Source organism: Homo sapiens, chromosome 10, assembly GCF_000001405.40.
Source record: "Homo sapiens chromosome 10, GRCh38.p14 Primary Assembly".
Lineage (NCBI taxonomy): Eukaryota > Metazoa > Chordata > Mammalia > Primates > Hominidae > Homo > Homo sapiens.
In genome coordinates this window covers 96066513-96091428 of record NC_000010.11, presented here as the reverse complement: position 1 = coordinate 96091428, position 24916 = coordinate 96066513, and the positions used below count along the sequence as shown (strand labels likewise).

At 39.2% G+C, this 24916-nt stretch overlaps 1 long non-coding RNA gene across 4 annotated transcripts in view, besides 2 other annotated features; it reads left to right on the top strand.

The window, feature by feature from the left end:
- Nucleotides 1045–1094: an enhancer, noted in NCBI's record as "active region_3816". NCBI's record gives its function as "activates an Ori minimal core promoter by ATAC-STARR-seq in GM12878 lymphoblastoid cells {active_cell/tissue: GM12878}" and the evidence as "EXISTENCE:reporter gene assay evidence [ECO:0000049][PMID:35858748]".
- Nucleotides 1105–1474: an enhancer, noted in NCBI's record as "active region_3815". NCBI's record gives its function as "activates an Ori minimal core promoter by ATAC-STARR-seq in GM12878 lymphoblastoid cells {active_cell/tissue: GM12878}" and the evidence as "EXISTENCE:reporter gene assay evidence [ECO:0000049][PMID:35858748]".
- Nucleotides 1194–24916, top strand: part of ENTPD1-AS1 (ENTPD1 antisense RNA 1) — a 337030-nt gene continuing 313307 nt past the window's right edge. For all 4 annotated transcript variants that reach the window (NR_038444.1, NR_134321.1, NR_134320.1 and 1 more), the window contains exons 1-2: nucleotides 1194–1447; nucleotides 2122–2163. This is a non-coding gene — a long non-coding RNA (ENTPD1 antisense RNA 1). The remainder of the gene's footprint in view (nucleotides 1448–2121; nucleotides 2164–24916) is intronic.

Below are 24916 nucleotides of genomic sequence, written 5' to 3'. Positions count from 1 at the left end.
AATTTTGAGAATACACTGACTCACAAAAATCCAATGCTTTTCTAGTCAAACAGGATTTCTCTACGTGATTTGTATCAAGGACGGTCATTTATCAAAATGTGACAACATGCCTTTGCCGTCATTATAACAGCAGGCAATTAAAAATGTTTTTACCATAGCCAGTTTGCTTATTTTTCTATTTTAAAAGGGTTTTATAGCAGATATGCAAAAGAGAAAGCAGAGAGAAAAAAATAAAATCACTCTCTATTCAAACACTATCACTGTTAATTTTGATGTATTTCTTGTGTTTTTCTAGGCATAATTTGTTTTTACAAAAACATAGCCTTAGTGGCTAGTCCCACTTTATTATGTGAGTACTGGTCAATGCAGAAAGAAGACTAAACAAACTACAGATTGGTTTTCAGTCATATTCTAAAGAAACAGAAGCCAAACAAACACTTGGTCTGGTGGAAAGTCCAAGATTATGGTCCTTGGCCCTCTGTTAAGGCCAGCTAGAGTATCTGGTGATGGTGAGAGGCCTCCAACTGTCTTAGTCCTGGATTTAAAAGGGCCTAAACGGAGCTAAAATGTTCCCCAGAGCCTAGCAATCATTGACAGTTTCCTCAGGTAACCAGCGCTGCAGACGGAGAATGCTGCAAAGGCAAGGTGTCAGAAACCAATTGAAATCCGAGGTTCAGCCAAGGGGACCCAGGCACACACGTGGGCCTTGTGTTCACCATAAAGAGCATACTGGCTACAAGTTGGCCCCTCTCTGGGCAACAGAGTGCCTAACTTAAAGGGGCTTACGAGGATGCCATGCGCCAACAGCTCTGGTTTTACAAAATGGAGTCACCAGGGAGAACGCGGTGTCTGGGTTAGACCACGTTCACCAAGTACCAGCTATACGATCTCGGACAAATTTACTTGCCCTCTCTTAACCTTAGTTTCCCCATATATAAAATGTAAGTGATACATTTCTGACTGCTGGGATTGTAAGGAAGGGATTAAATGGCTTGCCAATGAGGTGTTCAGCACAATGCCTGCCTAACACGTAAAACGTGTTGGGGTTGGTTGGTTGTAAGACCCACAACCTCTCTCCCCACTCTACCCCCGCCCCGCCACCAGCAGCCCAGCTGCAGCCGCTTCCGGGAACCACTTCGCTTCGGTCTCCCACTGCCGAACGCGGATCCCTCCGCGTTGCGTCACTTCCGGGAGACTCTGGCCGCGGCGATTCAATATATCCGGAAGCAACTGTCATGGCTGCTGTCAGTGAGGGCCCGTAATGGAGATCGAGTCAAGGGTTGCCCAGGGACACTTAAGAGCCTTCGGCTTCAAGGAGGCCTCTCAAAGGACAAAGGATGAGACTGCCTGGCGGCAGAGTGCCCCCCACAATCGTAGGAACTGTGTCGCCGCGCTTCCCGTTAACTTGCCGCTAAGTTTTTCTAGAAAAGTCGCCCTTCTTGCCAGGGTGGGACCTCACTTCTGACCTAGCCCTTCTTTGTGTACCAAGTTTTTGTTTCCGTCATTTCCCGCAGCCCGGGAGCTCGGCGGGCGATACTGTGGTAGCCTGGGAGGAAGGGGCGGGCCGGATGCTGGAACCGAGAGAGGTGGGGCTCGTCGAGGAGTCACGGGCGGCCGAGGCTGGAGTCTCCTAAATGCAACCTTGAGCTGTTCCACCCTTTGGTGCTTGGTCTGTTAGCTCGAGGTGCTCCTCACCGTGGAGGCGTTTAGAGCTGGTCATAAGGCTCTTACCTGCTGACCCAACCACCCTCAACCACAGCTTGCCCTGCTCCAGATAGACTTTGATCCTAGAAAATATCTAAGATGGGTGTAGTGCAGTATGTTATTGTTTTAAGTCTCAAACATAAGCAAACTATTATTAAAAGTTTTAGAATTAATAGGCAGAGTTCACATATTGGGTCGTGTTATTGTTTTAAGGTTTAAATTTAGATAACATGTTAGTACTTGTTGAGATTTTAACAAAAGCATTAAAAAAATGAGAAAATAGATTAATCTTTAGAATATTTTAAGTTTGCTACTGCGCAGTGGTAACATGAAGACACCTCATAATAAGTCTTTGATTACCAGAAGCTTCTGAAAGTAAAATTATGGGTATATTAATGTGAGTTTTCCTCTCTGCAGGGTGTCCTATAGACTTTGTCATGGAGTGAAACAGAAACAAATGTGAGTTAATCATTAACATTTCCTAGTGGTTAAAATTACTTTTTAAGCGCTTAACTGTGTATTTTTTAGATTGAAGATTTCAAATGAAATTTTGATTTGACTGAAATATTTAATATGTGATGAGTTGATATTAAAATACAGAAGATTACTATTTTTATAGAAACAATAATGTAGAAACTAATATTTGAAGCAGGTTTACTCCACATACTGTGTTATAATTTAAATTTTCACTTAAACTCTCAAAATCAGAAGAGCTGACCTAGTAAGGCTTAAACCTCTAAAACTTGTGGTTTTAACAAGGCTTAATATACGTAGTTATAATAGTTTTTAAAAAAATTGTTATCAAGTTCCTCAGGTGATTCTGATATAGTATTTTAAAGAAAGCAAAGAGAAATGATCTGTTTATACATTTTAAATATTTTGTTCCTTATTTATGTATTGAGACTGTGCTTATAAATGCATTCACACGCATTGAAGTACATAATTTGATCGTCATGCCAGCCTGGAATCTTGCTTTTTGTATGGTTTCTTGCAGGTAGGTCTATTGGGTTCTTGGCATAGTACCTGGACAAAACATTGTTAAGGTGGAAATTTTCATTGTATTTATCACTTCAAACACTTGACCAGTTTATTTAGTTTTCAAGCGCTTTAGACAACTATATGTGGGCTTGACTTAGTGTATAATAAATGTAAAGTTTGATCTCAAGTAGTTGACATTTATGGAGTATTTACCATATGCCAATCTTTGTGATAATTGCTAGACATATTTTATTTAATGCTTACAGCAGTACTGTGAGTTAGGTTTGTTAAATCCCTGTTTTAATAGATGGAGAAACTGAGGCAAGGACGGATTAAGTTACAAATCCGTCTTTGTAACTTAGAGCCATCTTCTTACCTACTTGTTTTGTATGACACCCTTTTCCTCCATATAACTGAACACTGGTAGAAGAGTGAATGACTGTAGAAAACAGACCTGGACTCTATTCTACCTGTCCAGCTTTGTAAACTAGGGCAAGTTGTGTGACCACTCTGAATTTCATTTTCCTCACCTATAATAAATGAAAACTTTGAACTATTATGTTTTATTGAATCTTGAATCATCAGAAATCCTTAAGGCTGGGTGTGGTGCTTCACGCCTGTAATCCCACCACTTTGGGAGGCCCAGATGGGAGGATTGCTTGAGGCCAGGAGTTTGAGACCAGCCTGGTCAGTCAGCATAGCGATATCCCATCTCTACCACAAAAAAAAAAAAAAAAATTCCTTAAAATGGTGCCTTTACCATCAAACCTGGGATTTTCTTCCAAGCCCCTAGTGCTCATTCTGAGTTTTGAAGTTTTGATGCACGGCAGTGCCAACTCCATCTCCATTGCCGTCTAGTCTGATTACATTGTAAGATGTGACTGATTTCAGAGATGTCAAAATGTAAAATAATGTGCATCTTGGAACTAATGAGCTCTTTTTCAACCCTGACTCTGTAACATCTGTGACTTTTTAACATTTTATTGCAGGATTAAGTATTTTTGAATGTAAATGATTCAAGATAACACATAGACTTCGTTTGATGACATCTGCAAAATAAATTTTTAAAAAATTTGGGCTTCATGATAATGGAAAAGTAGAAACTATGTTTGTCTTTATCACCTGTGAATCCCCCATATTGAGAACATGCCTGGCACATAGTGAGTGTTCAGTAATCATTTACTCAATGAAGTAAACAAGTCTTCATTTCTTTTTTCTTTGTTTGAGACAATCTCACTCTGTTGCTCATGCTGGAGTGCAGTGACGCTATCTTGGCTCACTGCAACCTCTGCCTCCAAGGCTCAAGTGATCCTCCCGCCTCAGCCTCCCAAGTAGCTAGGACTACAGGCACACACCACCGCACCAGTTAATTTTTGAATTTTTTTGTAGAGACAGGGTCTTACCATATTTCCCAGGCTGGTCTTGAACTTCTGGGCTCAAGCCATCTGCCTGCCTCAGCTTCCAAAGTTCTAGGATTACAGGCATCAGCCACTGTGCCCTGCCACGTCTTCATTTCATATTACAAATACAATATTAAAAAATTGTGTTTGACTTGAATTAGACATAAAATACACAGTCATGCATCGCTTAATGACAGGGATACATTCTGAGAAATGTGTTGGGTGATTTTGTTATTGTGCGTGTACTTACATAAATCTACATGGTATGGGCTACTACATATCTGTATGGTATGGCGTATTGCTCCTAGGTTACAAACCTGTATAGCATGTTACTGTACTGGATACCATAGGTGGTTGTAACACAATGGTATTTGCATATGTAAACATGTCTAGACATAGAAAAGGTACAGTAAAAATATTATAACTTTATGGGACCGTCAGTGAAATGTCATTATGTAGCACATGACTGCAATAGTATTAATAGTGTAAAACTATTTTGCACTGAAATTTTTTGCATTCAGAAGTTCACTGTTGTAAACTGTCTTTCTTTCCAAATATCTTTTCTTCTGCTGATTATTGCTGATTGTCATCAAGTATGGGGTATATTTTGTTCCTCGAAGAGTTATAGTAAAAATTGAAATGCTGGCTTATAGACTTTCCAACAAAGAATCTGATTTATTTTTAAAGTGGCCAAAGTATAGGAACATTATTTAATTTTTAGAAATCTTGATTGTAAAAAAAGTTTTAAAAATGTGATTTGATAGCTTATTTAATTTTTGTGAGTATTCTGGAGGTGATTAGGCATACTATCTTTCCTAGTATACAAATAATATTGAATATTTCTGAGTTATGAACAATAAAAATAAACTACAATTGAAATTATGTCATAATTGAAATTATGTCAGTGGGCAGAAAAGTGTTCCAAGTTTTTGGGTGGGCAAGTGTAAGAATAATGTTAACAGGAGAAATTATTCCAACCGTAATTATGGATGTCTAATAGTCTGTACTTTCGGTTAGAACCAGGAAGGTGGCACAGGAATAATTATAGAGTTGTAGACTGTTCTCTGTAGATAATCAGCTGAGTTTTGTGCTGTGGCCAGAAAAGCCAGTGTGTGAGGTATCATCAGGAAGGGATTTGGGAAAATTAACAAAAAAAATGTTACCCTCAAATAACACAGTGTTTTAACTAAACATGAGATACAAGAAATTATTTTATATTCATAATCCAGATGTTAAAAATCGTTTCAATTGTTAAATGTGATTATGGCTATAATTTTACTTACATAATTCTGTAAAGGGTATATGCCTGTATATTCAATTTTTAAAGACCAAATATAGGAGTAAAATCATTTACATAATTACAAAAATTCCTGCCACTAAAATAAAACTCTGTACCACTTGATAGCACTTCATTACTGAGTGAACATTGACCATGAACATCTTGGAATTTTCACTATCAATTTCCTTTTCTCAGAGTCCTTTTTTACAGAAAACACAAAGTTTTTATTCTTTAGTTATGCCTGTGCAGTAATGAGGAGGGAATAGTATTCACTTCTGTTAGTACTTACTTCCTTGCACAAACTTTGTAATGTATACTTTACTGAGTTCTCCAAACCCAAAGGAGAATAAGGCCAAGGGCCTATAATAAATTATTTTATGAGTCCAAAAAAGTAATTCATTTTATGATGTTTTCACAGAAGTTTATGCTTATTAATCAAAGATTTCAAGTTTAAAGAACTGAAGGAGAAGTGATATCATTAAATTTGGAGCAAATATGTTCTTTCAATAATTTTTTAAGTACCTAAGGATTGTTTTGTACTACCCTGAAAATTGTTTTCCTTTAAAGTTTTTATTATTTCCACACCGTTTTTCTCCATCTTTCTGTTTTCCTGTAAACGAATAACAGTAAACCCCCCACCCTAACAAAATGTGAATTCACCTAGGCTGAAATCATAAGATATATTCACTTTGTTTTCCCTACTTTTTCTACATGTTCAAGAATTTATATCAAATACAGATTAATTTGAAAATTTGACATTTGGAGATAATCTCAGTGACTAAAAAGAATAAAACAGGCATGGGACACTTGCAAGGAGGAACAGAAACAAAATTTTAAAACCCTCTCATTACTTAACCTACAGCAAAGATGAATTTATAAGCATCTCATTTAAACTCTAGGGTAAGTAAATTTTTAAAAAGTTTTTAGAGAATGAGGAATACAAAGGGATTTTGCTAATTTAAGACATCATCGTTTTTAGTTTAGTGTACTGGGTAAAGGATTTTCCAAGTTAACTAACAACTTTATTCTCCAAATCCTGAGTTTTTACTTTTGGGTGTCAGCCATGACTACTTCTCATCAGGAGTATTTAAAAATGTTATCCTACCAGTTGGTGAAAAAATATCACACCTCCTTTCTAATCTTTATTGGAAAATCTCCTTTTCTTTTCTTTTTTCTTTTCTGTTGAGGCCTGGTCTCGCTGTTGCCCAGGCTGGAGTGCAGTGGCGCAGTCTCTGCTCACTGTACCCTCTGCCTCCCAGATTCAAGCGATTCTCCTGCCTCAGCCTCCTGGGTAGAGGGGATTACAGGCACCCGTCACCACACCCAGCTAAGTTTTGTATTTTTTCAGTAGAGACAGAGTTTCACCTGGTCTCGAATTCCTGACTTCAAGTGATCCACCCCGCTCGGCCTCCCAAAGTGCTGGGATTACAGGCATGAGCCACCGTGCCCAGCCAGAAAAAAATCATTCTTTATAGTCAAAGCTTAAATGCTTCATGACCCATCTTCATAGGAGAGTATTCTTTTTATGCTCTGTTCCCTGATTTGGTGACTGTGAGAACTCTTATATAACATTTATGAAGTGCTTACACAGCATTAAGAGATAGGCATGAAAAGATGACTACATCTTGCCTCAGCCCTGCAAGTACCTATGGGAGAGTGACATTTAAATGTATACATGTAGCTAGGTGTGGTGGCTCATGCCTATAATCCTAGCACTTTGTGAGGCTGAGACAGGAGGATCGCTTGAGGCCAGGAGTTCAGACCACTGTGGGCAACATAGGGATCTCATCTCTACAAAAAATAAAAAAAAATTAGCCAGGTGTGGTGGTTTGCAACTGTAGTCCTGGCTGTTCAGGAGGCTGAGGTGGGAAGATCACTTGAGCTTAGGAGGTCAAGGCTTCAGTGAGCTGTGATTTTGCCACTGCATTCCAGCCTGGTGACAGAGTGAGACCTTGTCTCCAGTCGATCAATCAATCAATCAAAAAAAAAATACATAAAGTATGAGCCATACTGTGGTGGACGTATGTGTAGGGGTAGAGAGAGGACACAAATGATCCTTCGAAAGGGCTTCAGAGATGCCATGACATGTGAAATAGCCAGGCTTCTTTGAGAAGGCACTCTAAACAGTTTGATGGCTGTATTTCTCAGCAGGAGCAGTAGTAACATTTTGGATAGGTCAGGTTGCTGTATTGTCATTATACTCTCTTAAACATCGCAAGATATTTAGCAGCCTTGGGTCTGTGGTCTTTTCCCACCAGCTAGCATCAGTTGGATCTGGGGAGAGCAGCTGGCATCCTTCTTTAGATGTGCTTATACAATATGACTTTATTATTTTCTGAACTTCCTGTCCCTGCCATTCCCATTCATTTCATTTCATTCACTGAAGACTTTGGCACCTGGCTTATAGTTACCCTCTTCTCCCCAAGTCCCACCTTTATGACGGTCACTTCAAATTCCATGTGGTTAACTAAACCAATATCCTGGCTCTCAACTGCTTGACCTCAAATTTAGTGACCTTTACCTTTTCATGAAGCCACCCAGTCTCTGAATCTTATAATTATTTATGTCAGCAGCTACACCCTTAAAAACTTAAAAAACTCTTCTGCTCTTTGCCCATTTTTCTAGCTTTTTAGCTGAATGACTTCCAGTGCATCTGTACTTCAGCTTCAAGAACTCCAATCCCTTGGCTGTTCTCTCTCCCAGTCAGCTTCCATCACTTCAACCATTACACTCTTGCACCCTTTTCCCTCTGTTAGACCTACCGAGTAAAACACAACCCTAGGTCAGAAATTATAATAATAGCTAACATAAACTGAGTGCTTATTGTATTCCAGACACTCTTCTGAGTTTACCTGGTTTGTCTCCTTTAATATTCTCAATGGCGCTGTTATCTCCATTTTGTGCGTGAGGAAAGTAAAGCTCAATTTTCTGTCTACTGTAGTAGGGTATAAACCCTAGAAGTTTGCCCTTAGAAAATGTGCATTTAACCACTTATTTAGCCTGCGTTTCAAAACAGCTGTCTTCTCTGCTTCCCCACTTGGACTGCTGTACTGTTTTCAGGACAGAGTAGGTTTGGCTAGGTGGAGAGTGTTGAAAGCACTCATCTTAAACCTTGGCTATGTAACTAACCCTTTTGGTAGGCCTCTAGCCAAGCCAGAAAACAGATAAAGAGGGAAGTAACAGTGATTAGGTATTCAATGTCACCAGCTGCTTCTGGGTGTCTGTAGACAGAGGGAGAAGAAAAGCTAAAGAGAATAGGTATCAGTTTGGGGATTGAGTGTGATGTCACCTTTGCCTGATGACCTACTGAACATTAGAGACTGAACTGACTTAAAATTGGTAGAATAAGCATGAGAGAGTCCTCCATTTGTTTGTTTGTTGTTTTTAATTTTAGGTGAGTCTGAGTGATTATGTCATGTATATGTATGTCATGGCTGATGGGCTGAGGACCTCCATTGCCCTCTCCGAGGCTTGGCTCAGCTGGCCTGGAGAGATGTGCTAGGGAACATGCACCCTCTTGTTACCTTCCATCTCTATCTGTTTTGAGAAAACCACTCTAACTAGTCTTTGCTGTGGATTTCTCTCTCTAGATGTCCTTCCTTTTGTTCTGGATTTGTTGACGCTGACATTGTCACTTGAAGTGACAGGGTAAAGCTTTTGAGAGCTGATTGCTTCAGTTATTAGGTCACCTGTGGGACTCTCTAAGTACCGTCATGCATCACTTGACTGTGGTGATATGTTCTGAGAAATGTGTCATTAGGTGAATTCACCATCATGTTTATTTACACACACATAGGTGGTGTAGCCTACTACACACCTAGATTGTATGGTATAGCCTGTTACTCCTAAGCTACAACCCTGTGCAGCATGTTGCTGTACTAAATACTGGAGGCAATTGTAGCACAATGGTGAATATTTGCATTTCTAAACATATCTAAACATGGAAATGGCACAGTAAAAATACAATATAACAGTTGTTTTTGTTTTTTAATACACCTATATAGTGCAGCTCCATTTTAATCTTACGGGACCAGCAGTGTATATACTGTTCATTGTTGACTGAAACATTGTTATGTAGTGCATGATGACTGTAATTAATTTAGGGCTTTGTTTTGACAATGGTTTTGTTTGTTTGTTTGTTTGTTTTTGAGAAGAGTCTGGCTCTGTTGCCCAGGCTGGAGTGCAATGGCGCGATCTTGGCTCATGGCAACCTCCGCCTCCTGCGTTCAAGCGATTCTCCTGCCTCAGCCTCCTGAGTAGCTGGGGCCACAGGCGTGCACCACCACACTGGGCTAATTTTTGTATTTTTAGTAGGGACGGAGTTTCACCACATTGCCCAGGCTGGTCTTGAACTCCTGTTTTCAGGTGATCTGCCTGCCTCAGCCTCCCAAAGTGCTGGGATTACAGGTGTTAGCCATTGTGCCGGCCTTGACAATGGTTTTCATTTTCCTGTACACAAAAACTTTCCTGTCACCATTCTTAGTCCCTTAAAGAGGCAAACTTTTATTTTCTAGATATTTAAAATAATACCAATAACTTCCTATAATTTTCAGATTCACCATAATTTCTGCATGTGATACTCACATAAATGTATTTCCACCACAATTTTGAACGTGAATTTAAGTCACTCAACTTAATTCTCACTCACAAGAGATAAGGCAGCCTCTGGTGGCAGGGATTTTTCTTAGAAACCCCTTTCTGCTCGAAAGACTTCTTAGAGAAAAATCACACATTGGTGAAAACTAATAGCATGACATTTATGTTCATGACTTTGCCTGGCAATTCTTCTCTTTCCCATTCTCCACAGGAGCTGTTTTAAACTTCTGCTGACCTTAGACCCTTCCCTATGTGCTCACTAGATCTCCTACTTTTTCATTCTCAGCAGATTATTTTACCTCCCGTTTTCTCAGAGAAAACAGAAAACATAAGATGGCAACTTTAGCAAATTAGTGCGACCAAACCTTCAAACTTACTTCATTGATAAACCATTTTTGTTCTTTTTTTGTTTGTTTGTTTGTCCTTTTCTCCTTGCACAGTGGAAAAGGTGGTCCTCTTCTGGTCCAAGCCTCTGGATCTCTTCCCATTCATTCCTACTCTTTAGGATTTTTCTCGTTTACTTAGCTATGGCTCCTTCCCACTGGCATTTAGGCATTCTCACATCTTTTCTGTCTTAGAAGAAAAAAATAAAACCATCCTACACCAATTTGCCGCTCTCTCTTCTGTTTCATACCTCTCTGTCCACAGACAAGTGTTCATGAAAAAGTTGTCTTTACTCACTGTTTATTTCCGTGAACTTCCTGTTTATTCTTCAACCAACTGCAACATTTTATCTCAACTGAAATTACCAGTTTTAAAGGTCACTAACTACCACTTCATTTCTAAATCCACTGGGTATTTCTCAGACCCTATCTGACTTGACCTCTGTTCAGTCCAGTGTGACAGTTTATCCACTTTCTTCTTGAAATCTTCTTTTACTTGGGCTTCACTGACACCAGTGTTTCCTAGTATTAAATAATTTACTTCTGTGGTCATTCTTTTGAATGTCTTTAGAGCTTTGCCTTCATTCATTCTCTCATCCTTTTATTTGTGTATTTATAAAGCATTTATTACATGCCAGGCAGCATACTAAGTATTGGAGACTGAGAATCTGAAGCAATACCTGGACTCTTTCTTCAGAAAAATATACTCCCAAACAAACACTGAAAATTTGGCATACATTTTCAAGCCTCTCACACAGTGTTAAATACATGCATATCACTCTAGAATCTTGCTTCAGGGCCTCCGAATTATCTTAGCAGAAAGTTGTTTTTTTTTTTTTTGAGATGGAGTCTCGCTCTGTCACCCAGGCTGGAGTGCAATGGCACAGTCTTGGCTCACTGCAACCTCCGCCTCCTGGGCTCAAACGATTCTGCTGTCTCAGCCTCCCAAGGAGCTGGGATTACAGGCATGTGTCATCACGCCCAGGTGATTTTTGTATTTTTAGTAGAGACAGGGTTTCACCATGTTGCCCAGGTTGGTCTTGAACTCCTGACCTCAGGTGATCCACCCGCCTCAGCCTCCCAGAGTGCTGGGATTACAGGTATGAGCCACCATGCCTGGCCAGAAACTTTTATAGAAATATTTTTTAAAACTGCCCCAAGAGGCTTAAATTTTCTTTTAAAGCCCATGGAAAGTGAAAATGAAAACAGTTTTTCCCAGAAAAAGATTTTGCTACCGTTGGAAATTTTCTTCAAGGCATTAAGACTAAACAAGTTCTTTCAAGCTAACATTTGTGAACAATCTACTTTTCCCCTTCTCCCTCCAACCCCTACTCCCATATGCTTTGATTGGTGTCATAAGAATACAATTCAGGAAAGAGACTTAACCCATCCATGAAAAGGAGAAAATGGAATTATAAGAGCTGATATCTTTACTTGAGAGTAGATTGAATAGGGTTCTCACATCTACCAGGGTTCAAATGGTGGATAGGATACCAACTTCAGAGAAGGGGTGGAGACAAGAGGTTGAGTAATTCCTCATTTGATGAAGTTATTTTCATGTCAAGAGAAGGAAATGGTCCTGGTGTTGATATCTTGTGGTTACAGGTAATAGAATATCTGCATTCTGGGCACTATCCCTTTATGTCATCTATGCTTTACAACCCTCTTCCAAAATGGGTGGGTGCTAAGAAGATCCAACCCCATCTTCCTCATGTAACATATATTTTAAAAAAGAATCTTCTAGCCAAAGACTTGTTATTGGGGTTCTTTCGATCGCTGGAAACAACTAGGGAAAAAAGATGGTGAATTTCATGTTGCTTTTGGGGGCTATTTTGTAGGAGATAAAACATTTGCCAATGTTTTCACCCATTGAATACATATTGAGCATCTACTCCAATAGAGGGCTTGTAAATGGTGAGTAAAAGCAGGTAAAACCCTTGTCCATAAAGCTGATGGTTTAATGTTACAGATCACCAGTAGCCAGATAATCACAAATACAAAAATGCAAATGTAACAGGTGTTAGGAAGAAGCACAAGTTTCTATAGATCACCAGTAACCAGATAATCACAAATATAAAAATGCAAATATAACAGGTATTACAAAGAAGCACAAGTTTCTATGAGAGTCTGTAACAAGAGAATTTGATTTTGTTAGATCAGGGAAGTCTCCCTAAAGTGATGCTCAAGCAGAAATCTGAAGACATGAATAAATGTTAACAAATGAAGAGGGAAGGAATGTGTGCCCCTGATAAAAGGGCTAATATATGCAAAGGACCTGTGGTAGGAAAGAACATTCAAATATAGGTATCAGAAGAAAGGCCAGTGGTCGGAGGGGAGAGAAGGGGGAGGAGATGACACTTGAGACCAGGTTCGAGTTTTGAGAAGATCTCCGTGGCCGCAATTGGAGCAAGGATTAGAGTGGGGCAGAGTAGACCTAAGACCAGTCATCCAAGCATGAGATAATGGTAACTAGGACCCAGGTAGTGGGGATGGAAATTTAAGACATTGATTGTATTTAATACTTGGTAATTGGTTTTGAATATTAGATTAGATTATATATAATTGTTTGCTAGTATTTAGCAGAAACAGTTTGACTCTTTTGGTATTGAAATAAGAATTAGTGGTTTAAAAAAGTGTGTGTATGTATGTGTGTATATATAAAAGTATATATATATTTTTTACCTTTTGAATATTGCTATATGTATTTATTACCTATTCAAAACATTCTTAGTTCTAAAGCCTTTTGTAAATATTAATTCAGGGATTCTCATTGAATTGGTTAAGAGCAGAGACAAATGCTAAGCAAATAAATCAATTCATAATTTCCAAGTAGAATTTTACCAAACCGTAGATCTGATTGGTCATTGCAGCAAAGTTTCTTCTTTTTATTTGGGAAGAGCCTAAAAATATTCTTCCCATATACCAAAGGACAAGGGGCAGTCAGTGAAGACACCTCCACTGCCCTCCACACAATCTTCAAAAGTGCCTAGAGAAGGATTTTGTTATACAGAAAGAATCAGAAACTATAAAACATGGTGTGTCGAAGTCTCAACCCCCGTTCTGCTGTCATGAAGATTTAGAGGAATGGGGTTGACTTATGAGAGGCGGGGCAGGCCTCCAACTCTCCGGATTAAGGAAAAGTGTTGTAGGTTGAGGTAGCTGTGAAAGAGACTGTGAGAGTGATTTGGCTATAGGTGGCTTAATGAGGAGGATTCTTGGGTGTAATATGAGTGAGGGAGTAAAGGAAGCAGAATTAGGCAAAAGAAGGAGTTAGTTGAGCTGTGATGCAGTCACAACAAAGATGTAAGGGGATCCTACAAGGGCACTCCGGAGTTGGGATGACCCTTCAGAGTTGTTGCAAGTTGGGGCAAGGGCACAAAAGTACATGTACTTTTAAAAAGTCATGGAAGACTGTACACTGACGCACAAGCCAGTCCCTCCTTGAAGCCTATTACATCCATCAAATATGAATAAGCCTTACTTTTGAGAAAATTGAGTCTTGGACCTTTGAGAATCAATCTTCAAACTAAAAAGTACCTCTGTGATTTTAAAAGCAATTTTTATAACCAGGGTTGAGATTATTTAGCTTGTTTAGATGGGCTAATGGAACAGTCTTTTGTTAGTATTCTGCATGATTCCCTTACTGACATTCATTTTATAACCGTACCCAACTCTAATTCAAATGCAGATTTAGATGTGATACTTAAAGACCTGTGGTAAAATTGCAGGAAGAGGGTGTTTGTCTTTCTCAGTGTGTTTTCTGTAATAGTGAAGGTTTATTGGTTTCTCACTTGCGTGCCACCAGCATGCTTTGAATAACAAGACTACTTACGATCTCTATACATATGGCTGAATTTCTAAGGTGTGCAGCTTCTTCATATTAATTGGTTTAGGACATTCATAAATTACAGCACCCAGGTGGGTAGGTATAATTAGCTAAAATTTTATTTTTTGCTTCAAAAATCATGGTTCAGTAGCATTCACAACCTTAAGAGCACTAGCAGCTGTAGCGTAGGAGTCACGAATATAACACATCTCAAAAGACATGGGAAGTATGAACATCTTAACCTTAAGACAAGTAAAGAGGGGTGTCTGTGTATGTGTGTGTGTCTGCGTGTATTTATGCATGTGTGTAAAATATCAGAATATTCAGAAATCCAAAAGGTAGCATTTTGAGGAGGGCACAATAAAATGTACACATATCTGACCGTATTGGAGAAGAATACAGGAAACTATACAAAGATGTCTGTATCAGTTACAATGCTTTTGGCAGCAAGTAACAAATCCAGACTCCAAGAAGATTAAATAGTAAAATTAACTCATTGATGACAGGAACTCCAGCTATAGGGTAGGCTTTGAGGCTTGGTTGCCTTTATTCACTGGCACAGTAATGTCATCAAGGGCACAGGTTCTTTGCAACTCTCTGTCATATTTTATGTTACAATTGGTTGGTGAAAGTATGTAATCATGACTTCAACCTCAAGCTGTAGCAAGACAGCTGCAGCAGTTCCAGGCATCACATCCAGAGCTGGCAACATTTGCTCACATTGTTAGAAAACTTCTAGAATCCTCCCAGCAGAGTTCCTCAGTGTGTCCTATTGGCCAGATTCTAAATGTGCCCATTTCCTTTTTTTGCTTTTAGAGACAAGGTCTCACTCGGTTGCCCAGGCTGGAGTGCAGTGGCATGATTATGGCTCACTGTGATCTCAAACTCCTGGGCTCAAGCAGGGTAGCTGGGAATACTAGCATGAGCCACTATGCCCAGCTAATTAAAAAATTTTTTTGTGTGTGTAGAGACAAGGTCTTGCTATGTTGACCAGGCTGGTCTTGAACTGCTTGCCTCAATTGATACTCCCACCTTGGCTTCCCAAAACGCTGGGATTACAGGCATGAGTTAACGCACCTGGCCTTGTGCCAGTTTCTTGAACCAAGCACTGGCAAAGAAAATGAATTACTTTTAGTCTTCTAAGTCCTCTCCCTGTAATTGAGGGCAGGTTCAGCTTCCAATGTTGATGTGGGGGTGGGGGAAGGGCACATGACAAATCAAGCTTCTGTTAGAAGGAAAAAAGGAGAAATGGATGCTAGGGTAGGCAAACTGAATCTTCTGTAATACATCTATTGTCTTCAAAGCTCTTTGATTAGAACAGTGCACACCAAAAGTAGGGGGGCAGTGAATGAGAAAGCTGCTTCATATTCTACCAGTGGACCACAGAGTTAGAAAGCTACTGACCTAATAGGCTCATTAAGAAGTCATTCTTTTGTCAGGTAGCATTTAACAATATATTTGACAAAGAAGGTTAAAGGAGCGTGGATTGGCTGCTAGGAGAAGAAACTAGAGCTGTTTTGGAGTTGATGAAAGTTCACCTCATCCCTTTAGCAGTGGTTCTTAAAATATGGACCTCCCAAAATCTGAATCAGAATTTCCCAGGGTAATTATTAAAAAATGCAGATTCATAGGCACTGTCCCAGACTTACCTTATGAAGTTGGGGTAGGGTGTTAGGAGCCTGCATTAATTAGCTCTTTGATTAATGCACACTGGCATTTAAGATTCACTGCTCTATAGACTAGTATCATATATAACAATAATGAACTTCTTTCCACTGTGCTACAAATAAACCATTCATGCTGGATTGGTCAAACAAAATCAATTTGTAACATATTTGAAGACCAGTGCCATGAGCTAAAGGGTCACTCTAAGCAAGGAGCCCAGATCCTGAAATAAACTTATATACTGTACCACTGAAAGATTCTGGCAGTGGCTTTCTCTAACACCCCTCCCCCAAATCTCCCTGCATTTTAAATCTCCAGATAGCTGACTGTCTCTGTCATTCAAGCTAGCATTTTACCTCATCCAAATAATATGTTCTGTGTGTATATAGGTTAGCATGAATGAAATCTCTACTACTTAGCTAATGAAGGGGCTGTGAGATCTTACTTTTTAGAGGAACTTTCCAGAGTCATCTTCACATTCAATGTTCTTATTGTTGCCCTATTCCTTAAAAAAAAAATCCACTTAATGACCAAACAGTTTTAGGGTATTTGTAAACAGAAGTGTTAGAGGAACTGTTTCTCTTGTTTCCATAGCGGGTATGAGTTTCTACTCCAGTCCGTAGGGAGAAAGAGGAGTGAGAAATACTTTCGGCCACTTCCCCTCCTCAGGGTAGGAGGGAGACTATATGATCTGTGAGTTGAGGATAAGGAAATAGGCATGTTTGGCTTCTCTCCCCTTCTGATCTTCACATTGGCAGAGGGGGGCATGTCTGGTTCACTCATACATGCAGGAAGTTTATTGCAGTAAGCCTATTCTGGTAGGGAAGGCCTACAGTTGTCCTGCCCTGCCTGTGTCTGGGAATACTGAATTATGTGGTAAAGTATCTGTTAGGTCACCCACTGAGATAACACATCTAAGGCATGCCCTTTGAGGTAGGTTTTATTAGTTCTAAAGCTGATACTTTGATCTTCGTCTGCCTTATTCCCATTTTTATCTGTGCATTGATCTGACTTTTCTCCCTTTTTGGGGAGGAGAAGAAAAGGGTGATATTTATTAGCCCCCCTGGAACCTAGAATAGAATCATGATCAAATTTCCTTGTCTCCAGGGGCACACCTGTGAGGTGAGGGAGCACGATGGGGAATAAGGCTCAAGGAAGATGATATGACTCTGGCTTCCCCTTAGAAATTGTGCTTTACTCAAGCTTTGGAGCTTGAGGGTGCCTTTTGGCAGGGACTGCAAAAGTTATCTGTCTTTATCTTGTCTTATAATTAGTGGGAGAAAGTTCATAATTATGATTTTATGAGCATGAATCCATTTGTTAACAAAAGTAAACGTCCCAATTGTGTATATTTTTGGAAGTCTCCAAAGATCTTACTTAGTGTGGGCTAGGGAAGGTTGTACCCATCTAGTGGAATGCTTTTTCCATTCTCCACTTTATTACTCACATTGCCCTGTCTGTGCCAGAGTCATCCCGAGGCTCCCTGCAGATATCATCATGAGAAGCCATGGTAGACACAGCATACATATTGCCTACCCAGTATGTATTTATTCTTTCTTTCTTGTTATTGAAACCTCAGTTTCGCTTGGGATAACAATTGCCAGCCTCAGTCTATGAGTCATGATTCATATGTGTCAGTCATAACCATCTTGTTTCATTTTGCAAGACCCTCATTGGCCTTCTTGCAGATGTGGATGGTTATGTGACCCAGTTCTGGTGGATGAATCATAAGAGGAAATCTGCTGGAGGCTTCTGGGAAGATTTTCTTTTCTGATAACAGTGACAGATGTTTCTTAGCTCTTCCTATCTTGAACATGGACATACTATCTTGGCTGCACCATCTTACCTCATTCTTATGACAGAACAAAATACACTATTCATGAAGTCTGCAAAGAACATTGAGACACTGGGTGCCCAGCCATGTAAGTTTAACGCTGCCCCATACAGTTTTCACATAGATAAGTAGGGCTACTATTGAATATTACACAGAATAATCTTTTTTCCCAGGATCAAAATTAGGTACATGATCCCAGAACCAACTGTGCAGCTTACATTTAACCAATGGCTGACACATTGCCTGATACATAAAAGGCAATACTACAACAGAATTTGTGGAATGAGAGAAAAATGAATCATTGAAAATATGTATGGGTGAATGAAGTAACTAATGAGCCCAAATACCATTTATCATGAATTTCTAATATGATGTAGTTTGGTTTCGTTCACTGCTGAGTACAAACAAAATAGTACTGTACTCAGCACTAAAAACAAACAACATGGATGAACCTTAAAAACAGTATGCCAAATGAAAGAAGTCACACCCAAAAGAGAACATCGTGTATAATTCCGTTTGTTTGAAACTATAGGAAAGGCAGACTTATTCCACGTTGGTAAATCTTCATCTCATGGGTGTTTCTCTCAGTGGTTGCCGGGGCCAGGGGCTTGGATACAGGGAGGATGGAGTGGGAGGGGCACAAAGAATCCTTTTAGGATAATGGAAATGTTCTGTATCTTGGTTGTGGTGGTGGTTGCATAGGTGTCAAAAGTTACTGAGTATGTGCATTTTATTGTGTGTAAATTATACCTCAATAAATTTGAATTTTCAAAAGAAAGCTCACTTCTTCAGGACCAATAGTAGGGAGAGGCACTGATGCTGAGTGTGACTCGTAATTCATGCAGCCGTGAGAGATCCTCATAGAACAGGAGGACAGAGGTGAAAAGGTTATCTGCCAGACAAATTTTTCTGAGTCTACAAGGAAGTGGCCTTAGACCAGGTCATTTTTGTAGGTTCCCTGCATCTTTGTAGGCTCCTTTGTAGGCTTCTCTCTACTTGAGCAAGAAAAGGCCCAAATTTTGTTGTAGATCAAGACTTAGAAGGTTCTCTTGGAATGAGGTCTTCAATACTTGAACCTTTGGATTTTTTAAAACCGAAAAAAACAATATCTGCACAAATACCTACTAAGGCTTTTATCTAGAACCTGCTCTAAGATATAATGAAATCAGTCTACTTTTTGATCTAAGAAGCTTTTTTTTCCTAAAAAAGATATATTTTCTCAATTGTAAAAGTAATCCATAATTACTGTAAGAAAAGTTAGAAAACACAAATTTGCAAAGGCAAAAATAAAAATCATCCATTTTCACTACCCAGCGATAACTATGATGACCCCTTGACAGACATCCTTTCAGATTATCAAATTAAATTAGTTGTCTTTGAATCAGTTAAACATACCCATTAAGCTACCAGGAAGTGACCTGTGAATAAGGGAGGCTTTCAGCCTCTCTGTAATCAAAGACTACTTTCACTTAGTACCTTACTAGAAGGCATATCTGTAAAATGTGAGTCTTACTAAATGTACCAGTTGCTAATATGGTAGCACATACCCTAACAATCCTTTTAATATATATTTCTCAGTGCTATTTCTTGGAGAGCATGGTTTCTAGGATTCTAGATTTAACTTTTATTTTTCCATGCCTTGATATGAGACCCACAGAGGCCATAGTCCTTAAAAGACATGAACAGTGTTTCCCTCAGGTATGTGAAGGAAGAGAAGTGTGAAATTGGAGGATATGGTCACCTTATCTCAGGCTTTGACAGGCCCCCTCCCTGGTGTCTAAAACCCATGAGGTACCTCTGCCAAAAGGAAAGACAAAGAACCTTTGCTGAGCTATTTATTGCCTTCTGTGTGTTGGGAGAGGGGGTAGTGTTGGTGGCTGAGTGTGAAAACTCCTGGGACAGTCATCTTTTTATTTCCACTAGTGCCCACCACAGTGCCTGAAATGCAGTAGTTTAGTGGTGTATTGAATGAAGGTATTAACAATTGTGTTAATAATCAAGGTCAAAGAGAACTCAGGTCATGTGAGGTCATATGTTGATACCAGCTCACTTCTGATGACTCTTAACTGTGTAAAAGACCCAGACCTTAGCCATGGCTGTTACCCTTCCAGGACATGTCCCTAGCCCGGTAACCCAGTGGAGTGGAGGTCGGTACAGGAATAATCTGCAGACCATTACAAGAACATGGCTGCATTCTGTAGGCCCATGCCATCCAGTCCTGCACTTCTGTACTGGGGTGGCTTTCCATGGCAAAAGTTTGTCACCCGCTATCTTGGGAACCTTTTGGAGAAGGACATGCATGTATATGGAGCATAGTTTTTCAAGTAGGCCTCAAGACTTTCTCCATCAGAATCACCTGTATAGTGTCTTTTAAAAATATAGATTCTTGATTCTTATTCAAGATTTACTGAATTGGAATCTTTTGGTCCTGAGATGCAGATGATTCTTATGTACCCCATTTGAGAACCCAGGACTAAGTAGTGTATTTCAAGCTTTTTGGACTCTGACCTAGAGTTAGAAATAAGTTTAGTAAAAACAATATTTGTACTTACTAGAGCAGTGTAGTCTTACAGTTTCTATTTGTTGTTGTTTTTTTGTTTTTGTTTTGTTTTGTTTTTTTCTGTTTAATTTGCTGGCTGCGACCCAGTAATTTCTTTTCTTTTTTTTTTTTTTTTGAGACCGAGTCTTGCTCTGTTGCCCAGGCTGGAGTGCAGTAGCGCGGTCTCAGCTCACTGCAACCTCCGCCTCCCGAGTTCACACCTTTCTTCTGCCTCAGCCTCCCGAGTAGCTGGGACTACAGCCGCCTGCCACCATGCCCAGCTAATTTGTTGTATTTTTAGTAGAGATGGGGTTTCACTGTATTAGCCAGAATGGTCTCGATCTCCTGACCTCGTGATCCGCCCGCCTCAGCCTCCCAAAGTGCTGGGATTACAGGCATGAGCCACTGCGCCCAGCTCTGTGCTTATTCTCATCTACATGTTTAAATATAAGCATGTATTCATGTACTGTTAGTGTACTTAAAAACACCTTGAAAGTAAAATATGGTTCTAAAACATAAATCATCTTTTTATATATGCAAACAATAACCAGATAAAATACAGTGGAAAAACAAATTTCATTCACAGTTGTGGTAATTTTTTTTTTTTTTTGAGAAGGAGTCTCGCCCTGTCACCGAGGCTGGAGTGTAGTGGCACGATCTCAGCTCACTGCAACTTCCACCTCCTGGGTTCAACTGATTCTCCTGCCTTGAGTAGCTGGGATTACAGGCGCCCGCCACCACGCCCAGCTAATTTTTGTATTCTTAGTAGAGATCGGGTTTCACCATGTTGGTCAGGCTGGTCTCGAACTCCTGACGTCGTGATCTGCCCACCTCACTCTCCCAATGTGCTGGGATTACAGGCGTAAGCCACCGTGTCCAGCCGGTAATTATTTTTAAAGGGTAAGATACCCAGAAGTAAACTTAAGAAATGTGTAAGATCTATATGAAGAAAACGTAAAGATTGTACTGAGGGTCATTCAAGAAGATTTCAATACACAGATATATCTTGTCACACTCGGGCACTCCAGCCTGGGCGACAGAGTGAGGGGAGAGACCCTGTCTCAAGAAAAAAAGAAAAAGGAAGATATATGTTGATAGGAACATGTCCCCCCTACAGTACAAGCAAGGGTAAAAAAATGTTAACTGGTAAAAATATTTGTAACAGGTAAAATAGTTAATGGGCTAATTTCTGACTATTTGGAGTGCTTTTTAAAACCAAGAACTAACAACCAAAGGAAAATTGGTAAAGGAATGAACAGCTATTTCATCAAATAAGTATAAGTAGTCAGTACACTCACACAAAAATGGTCATCTCTACTGAGAATTTAAGAAATGCTAATAAAAACAAAAATGAGATATTTTTACCTGATATATTTACAAAGATGAAATCGTTTGATAATAATGTCTGTTGTTGAAGAAGTGTGGTAAAAATATATATTTATTAGAGCATATTTAAATCATTTCAAAACATTAGAAAATGATTAAAATATATTCTATTCATATAATCCGTATGGCCAACCCTTCCAAAATATTCTTTGGATATATTTTAATTTCATGAAAAAATATTGTTGCTGATATATTGTGAAGTACAAAAAATATAATACAAAATTACATATTTAATATGCAGTCCATGTAGAAATAATATATGTGTGTACAGGAAAGATCCTCAAAGCAAATGATTAGTTATGTCCCCTTTTTTTTGTTTTTTTGGGAGAGGGTCTCACTTTGTAGCCCAGGCTGGAGTGCAGTGGTGCAATTTCGGCTCACTGCAACCTCTGCCTCCCAAGCTCAAGCGATCCTGCCACCTCAGCCTCCTGATCCCGAGTAGCTGGGACTATAGGCATGTGCCACCATGCCTAGCTAATTTTTTTTTGTATTTTGGTAGAGACGAAGTTTCTCCATGTTGGTCAGACTGGTCTTGAACTCCTGAGCTCAAGTGATCTACCTGTCTTGGCCTCCCAAAGTGCTGGGATTACAGGCATGAGCCACCATGCCCGGCCCGTTATGCCCTTTTGCTTTATATTTTTCGTTTTTCAAATTTTCTTTCTTTTTTTTTTTAGACGGAGTCTCGCTCCGTGCCCAGGCTGGAGTGCAGTGGCACGATATCGGCTCACTGCAACCTCCACCTCCCTGGTTCAAGCAATTCGCCTGCCTCAGCCTCCCAAGTAGCTGGGATTACAGGTGCACGCCACCACATCCAGCTAATTTTTTTGTATTTTTATTAGAGACGGAGTTTCACCATTTGGTCAGACTGGTCTTAATCTCCTGACTCAGGCAATCTGCTCGCCTCGGCCTCCCAAAGTGCTGGAATTACAGATGTGAGCCACCACACCTGGCCCATTTTTCAAATTTTCTATGTTGACCAGTCAGAAACAAACAGTGAAAATTAATAAATAAAAAAAAAGAGACCTCATGTGATCCTGTAAGCATTGGTGTAATGGTAGCATACTCTGTACTCTGATATGTCTTGGATATCATCCATACCAATGAGTATAGAGAAATATTTTGTTCTTTTAATGCCATTATAATAGCAAAACAGAGTCCCTATGGATGACCATTTAAGTTGTTTCTCATCTTTGCTCTTATCAGTAATGGTGAAATAAATAATTTGTACCTATCCCATTTCACATGTATATAACTCTTAACCTGTAGAGTACATTCCTAGAAGTGGAATTTCTGGGTCAAAAGATTTTTGCTTTTGTAACTTTGATATATATTGCCAAATTACCTTTCATAGAATTCGACCTATCAGACACTCGTAAGTAATGTAGAATAATGCCTACACCCTCACCAACACTGTTACCAAACTCTAAGATGAGGCTGAATATCTTTTCTTCAGAGACATTTGTATTTCTTTTTCTGGGAACTGCCTGTTCATATCTTTCCATCTTTATATGTTAAGGAAATTATCCCTTTGTCTGGAGATTAATTGCAAATACTTGACCTATGTTGTTATTTGTCTTTTGACTTTGATTATGATGATTTTTGCCTTGTAGAAAATTTTGAAAAATTTATATAAATTTTATTGCATTGGTATTCTTTTTTTTTTTTTTTCTCTGAGATGGAGTCTCACTTTGTCGTCCAGGCTGGAGTGCAGTGGTGCGATCTTGGCTCACTGTAACCTCTGCCTCCTGGGTTCAAGTGATTCTCCTGCCTCAGCCTTCTGAGTAGCTGGGATTATAGGCACATGACACCACACCCAGCTAATTTTTGTGTTTTTGGTAGAGTCAGGGTTTCGCCAGGCTGGTCTCGAACTCCTCATCTCAGGTGATCCACCCACCTTGGCCTCCCAATGTGCTGGGATTACAGGCAGCCACTACACCCAGCCTGCATTTGTATTCTTACACATTCTGTCTTTGAGGTTATAAAATAATTCTTCCATGGTTTCTTTTTGGTCAGAATTTAAATGTTTTATTTGTTTATTTAATTTTGTTTTAAGAGATGAGGTCTCACTCTGTTGCCCAGGCTGGAGTGCAATGGTGAGATCATAGCTCACTGTAATTTCCAACTTCTGGGCTCAAGCGATCCTCCCACCTCAGCCTCCCTAGTAGTTGGGACTACAGGCATGCACCATCATGCTTGGCTAATTTTTAAATTTTTTTGTAGGGATGGGATCTCACTGTGTTGCTCAAGCTTGTCTTTGAACTCCTGGATTCAAGTGATCCTCCCACCTCAGCCTCCATAGTAGCTAGAACTACAGACACGTACCACTACACCTGGCTAATTTTTGTATTTTTTACAGAAACGAGAGTCTCGCTATATCACCCAGGCTGGTCTCAAACTCCTGGCCTCAAACAATCCTCCCACCTCAGCCTCCTAAAATGCTGGGATTACAAGCATAAGCCACTGTGCCCAGCCTAAAACTTAAATTTTTTGAGGTGTGGAATCCAAATTTGTTTTTCTAGGTGGCTACCCAGTTGACCTAACTCAATTTATTGAATAATATTTATTTTCCTCTACTAATTTAAGATACCACCTTTATTATATAATAAATTCTAAATATGTTTATTTTGGGAATTTCTGTTCTGTTTCACAGAATTGTGTGTCAACTCATTTGCCAGTACCATTTTTATTTTTTATAGATTTGTAATATATTTTAATATGTCATGGGGCTTTTCTATATTCATTATTCTTTATTTAGGTAATTTAAAAAAATTACCTTGTTAGAGTATGTTAAATTTATAGATTAAGGACAATTGACATCTTTATAAAGTTTACACTTTCTATAAAAGTATATGGTATGCCTTGTGCAACTTTCTTTTGTGTCATAAGTATTTTAGAGTTTTCTTTATGTAGATCTTGTGCATGTGTTGTATTTATTGCCATTTTGTCTTATTTTGGTGGCCATTATAATTGAGTATATCTTGCATTAAATCTAATTGGTTGTTGTTTGTATATATGAGAGCTATTTTAATTGTGTAGCCAGCCAATTTACTAAATTTCCTTATCACGTGTGATAGTTTTTCAGTTGATTACCTTGCATTTCCAGGTATACATTGATTCTGCAAATAGTTGTAATTTTACCTCCTCCTTCCCAATGTTTAAACTGTATTTTATTTTCTCTTGTTTAGTTGTATTGCATGTATAGGTAGGTATTAGTTTTTTTCTTTTTCCCTTTTATAATTCATTTTTACTGCTTTTGTCTTATTTCTTTCCTCCTGCTTTTGTTTGGTTTCTTGTTCTTAGACTTTTTCAGTTGGATGTTAATTTTA